Genomic DNA, 15,234 nt, shown 5'->3' with positions numbered 1-15,234 from the left:
CAGAAATAGGGACTGTGATTGTCATGAGTATTTCCTTCTTCTTTTGCTAAAAACATGTTTGTGCATGTATACACTTGTGCTAAGAAAATATCTTTATTTTATTTCCTTTTCCTTTTTCGTGTGACATAAGATTTATTGACTTCATATCAGCATTTAAGTATTGTTAACTTTATGTAATAGTATTTGGGTTGGGGATTGGTGCATTTCTGGTTGGAAAAAGGATAGTTGTATTAAGTTAGATGCAATTATGACATTATTGTCTTTATTTGCAGATTATGAATGATCTCAGGAGATGTGTATGGGCTCAAGTTGACAAGAGGTGAACTTGTGCTGGTTAATACTGAGTGTTAGCTTGAATGGATTGAAGGATACAAAATATTGGTCCTGGGTGTATCTGTGAGGGTGCTGGCAAAGGAGATTAACATTTGAGTCAGTGGGCTGGGGAAGGCAGACCCACCCTTAATCTGGTGGACACAATCTAATCAGCTGCCAGCAAACATAAAGCAGGCAGAAAACAATAAAAAGGAGAGACTGGCCTAGCCTCCCGGTCTACATCTTTCTCCCATGCTGGATGCTTCCTGCCCTCGAACGTCAGACTCCAAGTTCTTTGGTTTTGGGACTCGGACTGGCTCTCCTTGCTCCTCAGCTTACAGTCTATTGTGGGACCTTGTGATCATGTAAGTCAATACTTAATAAACTCCTATATATATCCTACTAATTCTGTCTCTCTAGAGAACCCTGACTAATACACCATATCATACATGAAAAATTACTGGCTAGCCAGTGTATTCACTGCCATTGTGTCTGACATTGATTCCATGTCCAGTCAGCATCCGCGGACATGTAAGAACCATGCAGTCTGTAATTCTGTCCCTTCCTAGAGTTATGAGCAGCCAAGCATCCTGAAACATACATAGCAGAATATCCATATATTATACATATCTCTACTTGGAATCCATAGTCCCTGAAAAAGAGTCACAACCCAAACTGAGATTATAATCTTTCCGTACCCCAACTCTTCTCCTTCCATGATCCCAATCTCAGTGAATGGCATCACCATCCATATGGTTCTCCAAACTAGAAATGAGGGTGCTACCCTCCACTATGTTTTCTACTCTATTCCCCACATCTAATTAAACATCAAAGTTTACTGATTTTTCCTGCCAAATATCTCTTGAATTCATCTACCTGTCTTGAAACCACCAGAATTAGATTATGCTATTATAATCTCATCGCTAGTTAATCCCAATAGCCTTCTAACCAATCTCCCTCATTCCATCTTTCTCCTTCCAAAACATATGATATTCAGACACATCTGATCATGTCTCTCTCTGCTTAAAACCTTTCAGTAGTGTTCCAATGTTCAAAACCCTCCATAATTTAGCCTTCACTTACCTCTCCAGTCTTTCCACTTGACTTCACTCTGAGATAGAGCTAGGCTGAGCAATTTACAGTTCCCAGAAGCCACATTTTCCAGTTTTTCTTTCAGCTCACCTTTGTTCATGCTCTGCACCTCTCAGGAAGCCTTCCCTGACCTCTCTTAGTCTACATTATATGTGTTTTCTGTGCACTCTCATAAGGGATTTAGCATTATCATAGTTCTTATCACTCTGTATTGTAAGTGCCTATTTCTTTATCTGTATATACCCCAAGACGTTAAATTTCTTAAAGGCAGGGACTGAGTCTTTTTGATCATCGTACTTGACACATATTCAATACAGGTTTGTTGAATAAAAGAGACACATTTATCTGTAAGCACTTCTTTGTTATTACAATAATTGCTAGCTTTTATTCAGGGTCTTCTATTTTGTAAAGGATATTCACAAGTTGTGTCTCATTGGATCATCCCAGCAAACCTGACATAAAGTCTTCCCAGCTCAGACACAATGCCAAGAAAGAAAGAAAGAGGAATGTCACTCTTATTTACCTAAGAAGGAAATGTAATTCAAATATATTAAGTGACTTGCCTGTTGGCAAGTGTCTAGTACTGACTCCTATTGGGGAAATCCATAAGCAACACAGCTGGGCAGCAGGTATCTATCTCTGTCAGAAAAGAAATCACAAGAATGAGCATGTTCTAAAGAAAAATGTGCTATGAGTAGTGACATTTGAGACAGGAGATGCTGAAGCTGATAGGAAGACAATGAGGAATCTATTCCAGGAGTTTGCAACTGCCACTTAGATACAAGGGAATGGATGACTTGGTCCTCTGGCAAGTAGAGTGGATATTATGATCCTTAAATGATGATTTATGATGTTCCCTAATGGTAGTGCATATGGCTGGGCTAAGCAAGGATTAGATACAATACAACAGGCTCAGTAAGCTGCTAAATATTGGCCAGGGAAAGGTTAGGTACGGGGTGGCCTGATTTTCCATAGAACAACATGGTGAGGTAGGCCAAGTAGAAATCAAGGGTCAGGGAGGGTGTAGAATACAGAATGGGCTTAGCTGCTGCTGCCTATGAGGGATGAGGTCTGCCACTCCATACGGCCCTGTTCCAGCTGTATTCCAATTACCATTCAGAGCCTACTCTCTTGATGATCAATAAGAGCACTATTTGTTACTGTTGTCATTTTTATTATTAGTTTAGTACTAAGACATTAGAGCACTTTAACAACAACAACAAAATGCTTCACATGTAGGGAAAAAACTTAGGAAAAAAAGACCTGGCTCAATTAAATAAGATTATGTCCAGAAAACCTAAGCCATTGACAGATCCACAGTAACAGATGCACATCTCCATTTGTAGTACCAGTCATACAGAAAGGAAAAGAAAAAAGTGACGCAAAAAACAAATAGCTACAACAAACAGCTTTGCCGCTGGGCAGATCTCAGACAGTCAGGAGTTCCTTTGCTGGTTCCAGTACTTGTAGTTGAATTAAAGCTCCCTAAATGCGGACAAAGTCGTTCTAGCAGCTAAACACGTGTTTGCATAATTGAGCTAACCAAAAGTAAATTAAGGATCTGTGTTTCTGGGATCCACTGTTGAAATGCACTGTGGTATGGCCTAGTGTGAAAAAAAATCATTAATCCCAGGAGCTGATAAGGCAAGGGTTTTACCCGATGACTGAGAACTACAATTTTTAACAGGAAGTAATTTCTTCCAGCTGTCTGCCTTGCAGAGTTACAGAATTTCCAGCTATTTCAAACGTCTTAGCCCTTGCCCTGCTAAATTGGGCTCAGCCCAGCCCCAATTCCAAGAATGTAAATTTAATTTAAGACATACATAATTTGAAGATGGCTGGGTGCAGTGGTGCATGCCTGAAATCCCAGCACTTTGGAGGCAGAGGCAGGCAGATCGCTTGAGCTCAGAAGTTTGAGACCAACCTGGGCAACATGGTGAAACCCTGGCTTTACAAAAAATTAATTAGGTGGGTGTGGTGGCATGCACCTGTAGTCCCAGCTACTCTGGAGTCTAAGGTGGGAGGATCAACCTGAACCCTGGAAGTGGAGGTTGCAGTGAGCTGAGATTGCACCACTGCACTCCAGCCTAGGCAACAGAGCAAGACTCTATCTCAAAATATAGATAGATAGATAGATAGATAGATAGATAGATAGATAGATAGATAGATACATAGATACATAGATAGATAGATAGATTTAGATAGATATATATGTATTAGTTCCCCGTTTTCCCATCATCCTTTAATCTGGTGGGGATTAATTTGAGAATGCAAGCCCTAGTATGGAAAAATGGGCCTCACATTGTGCTCAAAGTCACTTTCATTTTAGTCTTAGCTGGGCCACTATTATATCTCTCACATCCAATCTACAAGTGCTGTTGGCTCTATCTCTAAACTATCTCCATTTCCAGCTCCAACCCAACTCCTACCATTGCAGGGTTTTTGGGGTGTCACTCTTCTGGCCGGAAACCTCCGTGATCAGTGTTACCTTTGCCCAAGTTTTGCTCAGACCCACTGGACTCATTCCACCCACTCAGCCTGGCACACTGCACTCAGCTCATGATACCAGCCTGGATCCCACACCTGCCAAGGGGGAGCCAGGCATGGAGCGGTGAGGAGTATGTAAGCAAGCAAGCATGGGGTCTGGCACTGCACACAATCAGGCATGCCAGCTGCTACAGGGGACAGGCAGCTCCAGGTGATAGTATGGGTGCAGACTCTCTGCAGGGCTGCAGCTGGATCAGGTGCACAGCAAGCAGCTTCCACAACTGCCACTGGGAAACACAGCAGCAACCAGAAGCTTGGAGATTCCAGGAACCACAAGGCCCCAAAGAGTGAGTCACAGCTCTGGCTCGGGGAGTTCCCATGTCTGGGCTCCCCATAGGGCTGCAGCTCTTCTCTCCTTCTCTTTACCTGCAATGTGGTGAGCAAGGGGCATGTTTCAGCCCTGTTTGTGTTATAGCCCTTTCAGCCTTGCCATTCAGCAGGTCCCAAGTTCTTGTCTTGAGTCCAGGAAGAATGAGGTACATGGACAAGTGGATGGTAAGCAAAGCAAAGAGAAGCTTTATTGAGTGACTGAATGGTTCAGAGGAGGCCCTGGAGTGGTAGCTCCTCTCTGCAGCTGGTCATCCTGACATCTGCTCAGCTTTGGCTGAGCCCAGGGCTTTTATGAGCCTCAGTGGGGAGGAAGTGCATGCTGATTGGTCCCTGGGCAGCCATGGGCAGGCCCAAAAGAGGCACCACAAGCTCCCACTCTGGTCTGTGGGACTGGCAGCCTGGCCCCCACCCAGCCTTCAGGCCCTCTCTGGCCTGAAGGGGCAGGGCTCCCACTTGTCCCCAGCTCCTGCTGGCTCCATGGAGTGGGCAGCCCCAGCCACACCTCCCTGCTGCAGCTGGCATGATGGCAGTGGCAACTCCAGACAGGCTGCCACTGCCATGACTACCACTTTAAGTCACCATCATCTCTCCCCTCTCTTTGGCTTGCTGTAAGGGCTCCTAACTGGTCTCTGCTTCCACTCTTTCCCCCGCAGTGCATTCTCCACACAACAGACAGATCCTTTCCTTTGTAATTTTTAATATGCATTTTAAAAATATATATAAAAGTATAGTATAATAAAGCCCCAATTATTTAATTATTTTCTGAAATAAAGCAAATCCTAGTCATCATAACACATCACCCATTGCCACTTCCACATTGCCACTTCCACATCTCCAACTAATACAGACTTTCTTATTTCTTGTTTGTCTTTTTGTCACTCTCAGTATATGCTTAACAGACTTTCTTTTAGCCCCAAAGCATGCTATTATCACACTTAACAAAATAAATGATAATTATGTAATATAACCTATCTAATACCAAGCCCATATTCAAATTTCCTAGGTCATCTCAAAGATCTCTTTTTACAATTAGTTTGTTTCAATAAGGATCCAAACTAAATCTAAACATAGTGTTTGCTTATGTCCATTAAGCCTCTTTCATTCAATAGTAGTCCTCCCTTCTTTCTTTTCATGTCATTGATTATCCTCTTTAAAATATAAATTGATCAGGTCATTCCCTGCTTCAACCCTCCTGCCCCCCAACAGCTTGCCTTTGCAGTTAGAATTAAACCCATAAACCTTACCATGCTGATATTATTTGGCTCTGTGTCCCACCCAAATCTTATCTTGAATTGTTATCCCCAGGTGTTGAGGGGAGACCTGGTGGGAGGTGTTGTGTCATGGGGGCAGTTTCCCCAATGCTGTTTTGTGATAGTGAGTTCTTACACCATCTGATGGTTTTATAAGTGTTTGGTACTTCCTCTTGCTCACTTCTTCTGTCTCCTGCTGCCCTGTGAAGAGATCCCTTCCACCATGAAGAAATTTCTGAAGAAAAGAAGCTTAATTGACTAACAGTTTCACAGGCTATACAGGTAGCATGGCTGAGGAGACCTCAGGAAACTTACAATCATGGCAGAAGGCCAACGGGAAGCAGGCAAGTCTCATGTGGCCACCAGAAGAAAGAGCAAAGAGAGAAGTGCTACACACTTTTAAGCAACCAGATCTCATGAGAACTTACTATCACAAGAACAGCAAGGAGGAAATCTGCCCCCATGATCAAATCACCTCCCACCAGGCCCCTCCTCCACCACTGGGGATTAAAATTCAATGTGAGATTTGGGTGGGGACACAGAGCGAAATCATATCAATGTGCATACATGGGAGTCTTCAGAATGGAGGATTTCTTTGGAAGGAGTTATTGCTATCTTATGAGAGTCAACTTCTTCTACCCAAGGGAAAGGGTTAAAAATGGGGAAGGAGGGTGTTACCTCCTTCAATCCTGGAGTGAGAGGGCTTTAGAGGACCATTTAGAGAGCATCCTGTGTGTTCTCTCAAGTTGGTGAGATGGGAGGAGTGTTAGATATTGAACTTGGGCTTGACTCACTGAAAAAACTTAAGTGGTTAGTCTGGGAAAACAGGAAAGAGGGTGTTATATTGGTCCCAGTCTGCATTTTCAGAGCCTGTTATGAAGACAGATGCTTGAATATATTCTATGGACTAATATGGACCATGCAAGAAAAATCAGAGAGCCGTTGTCTTGGGTTCTGCTCAATGTGGGCACCTAGAAGATGCAGTAATTCCAGCAAGAAGAAGCTGAAAGTAGAGGCCTATTCTTCCTAGGGGCTAACAAAGAATAGCAAATAAACTCTCACAATTAAGATGCATCCACCCGGCTTTAACCATCTACCAGGCCCAAAGAACACAAAATCTCCCAGGCCAGTCTAGCAAGGACTGCCCCATCCCCTTACCACCACCAGCACCCCCTCACACACACTACCCCTTTGAAAGAAGCAATATATCAGCCAGTGAAGGGGTGGGTTGCCCCTCCACACCTGTGGGTGTTTCTTGTTAGGTGGAACAAGAGACTTGGAAAAGAAAAAGACACAGAGACAAAGTATAGAGAAAGAAATAAGGGGGCCCAGGGGACCAGCGTTCAGCATACGGAGGATCCCACCGGCCTCTGAGTTCCGTTAGTATTTATTGATCATTCTTGGGTGTTTCTCGGAGAGGGGGATGTGGCAGGGTCATAGGATAATAGTGGAGAGAAGGTCAGCAGATAAACATGTGAACAAAGGTCTCTGCATCATAAACAAGGTAAAGAATTAAATGCTGTGCTTTAGATATGCATACACATAAACATCTCAATGCCTTAAAGAGCAGTATTGCTGCCCGCCTGTCCCACCTCCAGCCCTAAGGCAGTTTTCCCCTATCTCAGTAGATGGAACATACAATCGGGTTTTATACCGAGACATTCCATTGCCCAGGGACGGGAAGGAGACAGATGTCTTCCTCTTGTCTCAACTGCAAAGAGGCGTTCCTTCCTCTTATACTAATCCTCCTCAGCACAGACCCTTTACGGATGTCAGGCTGGGGGATGGTCAGGTCTTTCCCTTCCCACGAGGCCATATTTCAGACTATCACGTGGGGAGAAACCTTGGACAATACCTGGCTTTCCTAGGCAGAGGTCCCTGCGGCCTTCCTTCTGCAGTGTTTATGTCCCTGGGTACTTGAGATTAGGGAGTGGTGATGACTCTTAAAAGAGCATGCTGCCTTCAAGCATCTGTTTAACAAAGCACATCTTGCACAGCCTTTAATCCATTTAACCCTGAGTGGACGCAGCACATGTTTCAGAGAGCACAGGGTTGGGGGTAAGGTTACAGATTAACAGCATCTCAAGGCAGAAGAATTTCTCTTAATACAGAACAAAATGGAGTCTCCCATGTCTACTTCTTTCTACACAGACACAGTAACAATCTGATCTCTCTTTCTTTTCCCCACAAGCCAGCAAGAGGGAAGATGGGAGAGAAGATAAAATAAGAGAGAAAAAAAACTATCTTCCCTTCCTACAGTCAGGATGCCATCAACTATAGGCCATAATTCAAAGGTGCTAACTCAACTTTTGGATAAAATAAAAGCACTTAATCATTGTTTTCCATCGGACATTCCAGTTTTTAAACTGAGGCTGTCTTTACAACTTAAAGTGACCAAAGGATTGTCTATCACCTAGGAGTGGGCAGAACAATCATGGAATCTACCCACATTTCCAGTATAGGAACAGATCACGACCACTGAGTATACTTCAAATAGACGGTGGATAACAAAATAAGTTATACTTTGAGCCTACAAATCATGCATTTAGCATGTCAGCTTGTTATCTGTCTCCCTTCACTGGCAGGCAAGTCTCACAAGAGTGTGGACTTTGTCATCCTAACATTGTATCCTTAGAACCAAGAAGAAAGTCTGGCATGTATTAGTAATAAATATTATCTAAGATTGATCAATGAGCTCATCTTTAGGTTCTCCAAGTTTCATGTCTCCAAATAACTGTCCTTCTGCTTTGGGGCTCATTTAAGGTGTCTAAGATAGCTGTATTAGATAGGATAAGTTAACTGTCATGACAACAACTCAAAATATCATTGGGTTAACAGAAAACAACTTTATTTCTTGCTCATGAAAAGTCTAATGAGAATATTTCTGGGCAACTCTCCTCCAACCAGTGACTCAGGGATCCAGGCTCCTTCCATCTTGTAATGCTATCATTTTCAACATGCAGTCTCTAAGTCTTGGAAGGGGAAAAGAGTGGAGTAAGGCACAGCTGATAATTCATCTCCTCAGCTTATAAATGGCACACATTATTTCTGCTTACATTCTTTTGCTCAGTGCTAGTCCTATGGGTGCAGCTGAAGACAGTGGATTGAGGAGCATGGTATATAACTAGACAACTGCATCCTAACAATACCTCTACACTGTGAAAGGAGAGCTTGCATCTTTGGTGATCAGCTACCACTGCTGCCACAGTAGCCACCTGGAAGGACTGATTAAAGGCCTGCCTTACTTGTACAAATGAGCCCTCCTCCCACATAAAGGAGCCCAGACCATGAAGCCTTGCTAGATATCTGGGCTTGACTAACCCCAGAACCACCTCTCTGGTGCCAGCTGTTACTTAGTCCAGCTTCCTCTCAGCTCTACTATCTGTTGAAATCCTGCTATTTCATCAGGAATCTTAGAACTGAATATCTACCTGCCACATCAGTAAAGACATCCATACCTAGTTCTGTGGGGGTAAAAAGACCACATCCACCCCCATAGCAGGGTCAGCTGCCAAGCACCAGTTCCATCCAGTGAGGTCCCTCTGCTCTTACCCATGTTGCTGTGAGGAAACACCCAAAACTCTAAGAGCCCTAAATACCTCCTTCTCTTTACAGATGGAGAACTGGCACCTGGAGCTGGTGGATGGTGGAAGTCCAAGGTCACACTGTCAGTGGCAGAGCTAGAATCAGAGCCCACACTTCTGGCCACACTTCACATCACACTACACATCGAAGGCTGCCACCTCCTCAATCCCCCAATCACTTGCTGTTTTACTCAAACTGAGCTTCCATTGTCCTCCTATCCTGAGAGCCTTCCCAGGCCTTCGACTCAGCCTTACCTCCTTCACTTGACCCCCAAGACACGCCTTCCCTGGCAGTCTTCTCCTACCCGCTGGGATGGTACCCAATCCACGCTTTCTCCTTGGGTCTCATTTGGATGTTTTGTTCCATGCTGAGCATCTCCCTGGCCCCACCTTTATGGATGAGGAAAGTTAACACCCAGAAGGCTGAGGTGACCTGCGGAGCTCACACTGCCAGTTGTGCAGTTTGAAGAAGGCGCATCCACACACACCTCTTTTGCATCTCCCAGACACTCTTGGCCTTACCTCCCCCTTTTCATGCAGCCATCAGTCCTCAGTGAGCTGAGAGCATCTTCAGCTCAAACCTGATCCCCATCACCCCAGCCCTGCTCTCTTCCCATCCAGGGCTCCTACCTGTGTTGAGGGGAACCTGGAAATGCCCGGGAGTTAACATAGGCCAGTTTGTGGAGGGACAAACCTCAACCAAAGAGGGATGGGAACTAACTGAATGCTTCTCTTTCTTTCCTCCAGATAGACAATTCTGAGAGCTTGTCAGATGGCTTCTCAGGCAGTCCTATGCAACCAGGCAATCAGCGAGTAGCTCACTTGCCAGTATGTCTTTGAGTGAGCTCTCCCTCCATCCTGCTTCACCCGCTCTGACTCTCACTCATGCAGTCTCCCAGGAAATCCTCGCATTTCAGCCTTTGTCTCAGGCTTTTCTGTCCAGGGACCCCAGCCTCACACAGAGACAGAGCAGGGGAGCCATAGGAATGCCTGGCTGCCCAGTTGGGTCCCATGAGAGGGTGTTTGTCTTGGTTAATTTACCATCCCCTACATCTTGTCTTTAGTCTTGTTGGTTCAGAAACTTAACTTTTTCAGAAGCAAAAGGGGTAGCTCCTGTTACCCAAGCCACAGGATACCAGTCTATTTAGTTACCCTAAAAAACAACTGTCAAACAAGACAGAGTCTTCTTGAGTGCACCTAATGGGGCATCTTCTCTTTGTAGCTGAGAAATTCAACAAGCCTCATGGGCAGAATGTGCCTTGGTGAGCAGTGAAGCTCTAGCAGTTCTAGGGGATTTTCATCATCCTGGGACACCTCTTGGCTGAGGCCCTGTTAGTTCATCAGAAGAGCCTTGTGGAGGAGAGAGTGGTGAGTTGGCTTGGCCAAGAGCTCTCCATGTTTGCCCTGTCACAGTCCTATTTTTCTGCTTCTATGTCATTACTATTGTTTTTATTATTATTGTAAAGAGGGCACTATTTGGAAAAATTATTAATGTGTTTTTCTCTTTTGTGTTTCAGAGAATATGACCTTTTCCCTCAATTGGCCCCAAGCATTCCTCTGCCTTGGGAGAGATTAAATTGCATAGGCAGAATAATGCAAAAAGAAATAAAGAGCTAATATTCTGCTATTGACATTTAAAATGAGATTTCTCTGCAAGGCACTAATTTTTAGATTCAGGCTATTGTCTTGAGAGAGGTGGAATTGCCAATTGACTAAAATGAGAAAATTAGAGGCAAAATATCTGGGCTGAGTCCAGGTTCTGCCATTTACCAGTTGTGTGACCTTGAACAAGTTACTGAATTTCTCTAGGACTTAGTCTCCTTATCTGTAAAATGGGGTAATAATAGCACTGACCTCTGGGGATTGCTGTGAGAAGTTAATGAGCTAATACATGCAAAACATAATATTATTGAATTCTTTCTAGATGTCAAGCACTATAACACTTAGAAGCAGTTAGGAAGTATCTGGAACATAGCAAGTATTCCATAAACACAGGCTATCATCTTCAAAACTCCTTTATCTTCCCCTTTAGTGTTGCAGGAACCAGCTTTTAGAGTGCCCGTGCAGCCATGAAGCTCTCTCTATGGTAGGTGGAGGATAGAACCCAGTAAGGAAAGCCTTCTTTCAGTCCTGAGGGATAATGGGGAAAGGAGGTGAGGAAAAGAGAGGGAAAAGAGAACAGTCCGCCATCACACACGATCACACATACCACACACACACACAGCACACGTGCACAATATATGCCACACATACACCACACCACACTACACATACAACCTACTACACATGCCATATATGTACCACACATCACATACTACACATACACACCATATACTACACATACACACCATATACTACACATACACACACTGCACATACACATGCCACACACCATATATCACACATACACACACTGCACTTACACACCATATACCATACATACAAATGCCATGTACACCACACATGCACACACCACACACCACACATACACAATATATGCCACACATACACACACACCACACATACTGCACCACACTTACTACATATCACACACACCATATACCATATATATACGACACACCACACACACACACATCATACACCTACATACATGTACATACACACCACATACATATTATACACACACACACACACACCTCTCAAGCCACCTACCACACACACACCACAGTTGGAACTGAGCTTCTGAAATATCCAGGAAATGAAAAGGGCTAAGAACACAGAGACCTCATGTGGCAGAGCACAAATATAAGGGCCCAGTATCCTGTTAGGCAGAACCAGGCTGTAATTTGCTTCTCTCCGTTCCAGAGGCTTTGCCTTCCTGGAGTTCCACCACAGAGAAGACCATGAGCAGACCACTAGGGTTAGGGAGCTCCGCCCCACCGAGAACGCTAATGGACAGCTGAGTCTGCCAGGGAGGACTGTGGGGTCCTGGCCAGGCTGAGAGTCCAAATCACAAATCCCTCTAGCTGCCAGCTTCAGCCATGCAAGCAGTGACCGGGCTAGGGACAAGAGATAGAGCCCTGGAGACTCCAGGAACCAGTGGCACCATCGCATGCTTCCAAGGGGGCAGTAGGGAATGGGGGGTGAGGGGCCAGAAGACATTGAAAGCTGGGAGACCAGGTATTTTTACACAGAGAGATTGAATACTTCCTAGATGTGTTGTTTACATTGTCTTGAATTGAACTGAATCTAGAGTTTTCTTCAAGCTACCCAAAGGCTGGAGACAAAAATAAAGATTCCAATCTCAGACACTTGGAAGACTGAGGCCTGAGGATCTCTTGAGGCTAGGAGTTCAAGGGCCAGCGTCTCTAAAAATGAAAAATAAAAATAAATAGATCACAGTTCCCTCTGGAAGGCCAAGGTATGGTATAAGTTTTATGACCTTGACACTGTATTTATTGTTGCTGTTACTTGTGGATATTATCACTCACTTCCAGGAATTGCCCTCTCCACCCACAGGGCAGTCCCGACAAACAAAACATCTTTTTATTAAGAGGTCCTGCCACCTCTCTTCTCCACTCTCCCAACCCCAAAGAGGATTGGTCCAGAGTGGACACCTGGCTCAAGCTGGATCCCTAAGAATCTCAGCCTTGGGAATTGGAGATTTTGATCTGAGGAAGATGAGCTTAGTTGCTCAGACAAGCTCATGGAAAATTTCCAGAGCAGTGATTCCCAAATTACTACAGGAGCTTCCTGGTGAGCTTCAAACTAATCCAAAATGCAAATCCTCATATGAAAATTATCATGTGCAAATGATTTTTATACATAGTCATAAATTTTTATATATCATGAGGGACTATTTCCTAATAATGTACTAAATGGTCATTAGGGGTTTCTAAAATCTATAATTCACCAATTAAAATGATTGTTATAAGAGTGTCCTGATGCAAAGGAGTAAGAATGATAAAATGGACTTTGGGGACTTGGGGGAAAGGGTGGGAGGTGGGTGAGGAATAAAAGACTACACACTGGGCACAGTGTACACTGCTCGGGTGACGGGTTCACCAAAATCTCAGAAATCACCGCTAAAGAACTTACTCATGTAACAAAACACCATCTGTTCCCAAAAATCTACTGAAATTTTTTTTAATGAAAAAAAAAATAGAGTGTCCAACGAACTCTAACTCTATATTCTGCTATGGACGCTGCCTGCCAGGCCAAGGCCCTCAACGTTGGGGTGCTCTCACAGTGCACAGGCACACGGGGAGTTGGAATTCCTGCAATTGGGGGTAATAACGGGACTTTATTTTCAGTGCTTCACCATTGTTGCTTTGAATTGGCTGTGGGTTTTGATAGCTTGCTTACATTGGTCATTAATTATAAATTATTATAAATTTGGTTTCATGTTTATTCAGCTTTAGAATTACCAGTTTGTTGTGCATAGTGATCTTTGGGGCCTACAATTTTTCAATAATTAGACTTTGAAACTATCCACTACAGTTCAAATAACAATCATCACACCCTTTACATGCATATGTATGCATATTCCCCTTTGCAACATAGTACAGTGATCATTCATGTAATAGGACTTTATCTTCTGGAAATTGGAAATAATTAAAAGGTTTCAAAGTTTTGCCCTTCTTCAGTGGGTCACAGTGAAAAGTTTGGGACTTCTATCCTAGAAGAAGGACCCACAAATATCTCATGTTAAGCCCCTAAAGATGCCCTGATTCTTGCCCTTTCAGACAGCTTAGTCAAGCTCTTTTTGATTCCATGGGTATATACAATAAATTGTTCTTTTGACTTTAAAGAGCTTGAGTTGATTTTGGATATTCATATCAAAAGAACCTTAACTAATAAAGTTCTTATATTTTAGGTAAGGACAAAAATATGAATGTCTTTAGTCTTTTCCCTTCCCTCTGCATTCTAAAGAAAATTCCTCGACTCTCTATTTTTGGGATTAGGCTATGGGTGAAATGGAGAGGGTAAAAGCTAATCAGGGTAACGTTACAAGACACATGGCAACTAGGGAAAGAGAGACTCAGAAGGCAAGAGGAGTTGAACTAGAGAGGAGTGTAAAAGGAGCCAGGTGGGTCGGATTATTCTGGAAAAAGAGTGAGGAGAACTTTGGGGGGAACAGCCACCATAATGAGTGGGGTGATAGATGGGTACAGAGGACTTTGAGAATGTTTTACTATGTGCAGAGACCAGCCCAAAGTGGCCAGCACTGCTCAGGTTTGAACCCGACCCATCTTCTTCAGTGTACACGTATTTTTCCTATACAGGTGTAATAATTAGAACCTAATCACTAGGTTACTACTCACTAAACTACAGTCACATTTTAGTCCTACCTCCTTGAGATTCCACTTAAGGTGTTTTGGGTATTCCCAAATTCTTAAATCTCATATTACAGACAATCTCTTGGTTTATTCCCATGGACATATGATTACATCTGCTGAAAGGTTTTTTTTTGGTTGTTTCTTTGTTTGGGAGACAGAGTCTTACTCTGTCGCCCAGGATGGAGTGCAGCAGCCCAATCTCAGCTCACTGCAACCTCCGCCTCCTGGGTTCAAGCAATTCTTCTGCCTCAGCCTCCTGAGTATCTGGGATTACAGGCACACACCACCACACCTGGCTAATTTTTTGTATTTTAGTACAGATGGGGTTTCACCATGTTGCCCAGGCTGGTCTCAAACGCCTGAGCTCAGCCAATCAGCCCACCTTGGCCTCCCAAAGTGCTGGGATTACAGGCGTGAGCCACTGCGCCTGGCTAAAAGTCGTTTTTATTAGTTTATCTCTAAGGCAACCTTAGTTCCAAACTCTTAGAGGGTTTGCTAAGCTGTTGCTAGCCCCCTTTTTTCTGACTTCTAGGCCTCACTATACGGCCTCTGAGCCTGCTGCTCTTTTCACTACCCATGGGACCTCCCTACATTTCTGCTAATTACCTGATTGTCTGTGTTATCCATCCACTCAATAGACAGCACCATGAGGTTAAGACCTAATAGTTCAAATACTCTTGTCATGTTGGTGAATCAAAATCAACCAGGGAGCTTTTATACAGTGTGGGTTCCTAGGGTTCCAACTCAAACCTACCAAATATGAATTTCCCTGGGAGAAGCTCAGTCATTTGGAGAAAAAAAGACTCCCCTGGTGATACT

At 43.8% G+C, this 15,234-nt stretch overlaps 1 annotated feature.

Annotated features, from left to right (window-relative positions):
• Positions 6,860-7,714: an enhancer, noted in NCBI's record as "NANOG hESC enhancer chr1:114600776-114601630 (GRCh37/hg19 assembly coordinates)". NCBI's record gives its function as "activates a minimal SCP1, AML or CMV promoter by ChIP-STARR-seq in naive H9 embryonic stem cells {active_cell/tissue: H9 hESC(naive)}" and the evidence as "EXISTENCE:reporter gene assay evidence [ECO:0000049][PMID:30033119]".

Source organism: Homo sapiens, chromosome 1 (assembly GCF_000001405.40).
Source record: "Homo sapiens chromosome 1, GRCh38.p14 Primary Assembly".
NCBI classification, from domain to species: Eukaryota; Metazoa; Chordata; class Mammalia; order Primates; family Hominidae; genus Homo; species Homo sapiens.
The sequence above is the reverse complement of the archived record's forward strand: the minus strand, read 5'-3'. Positions and strand labels throughout refer to the sequence as shown.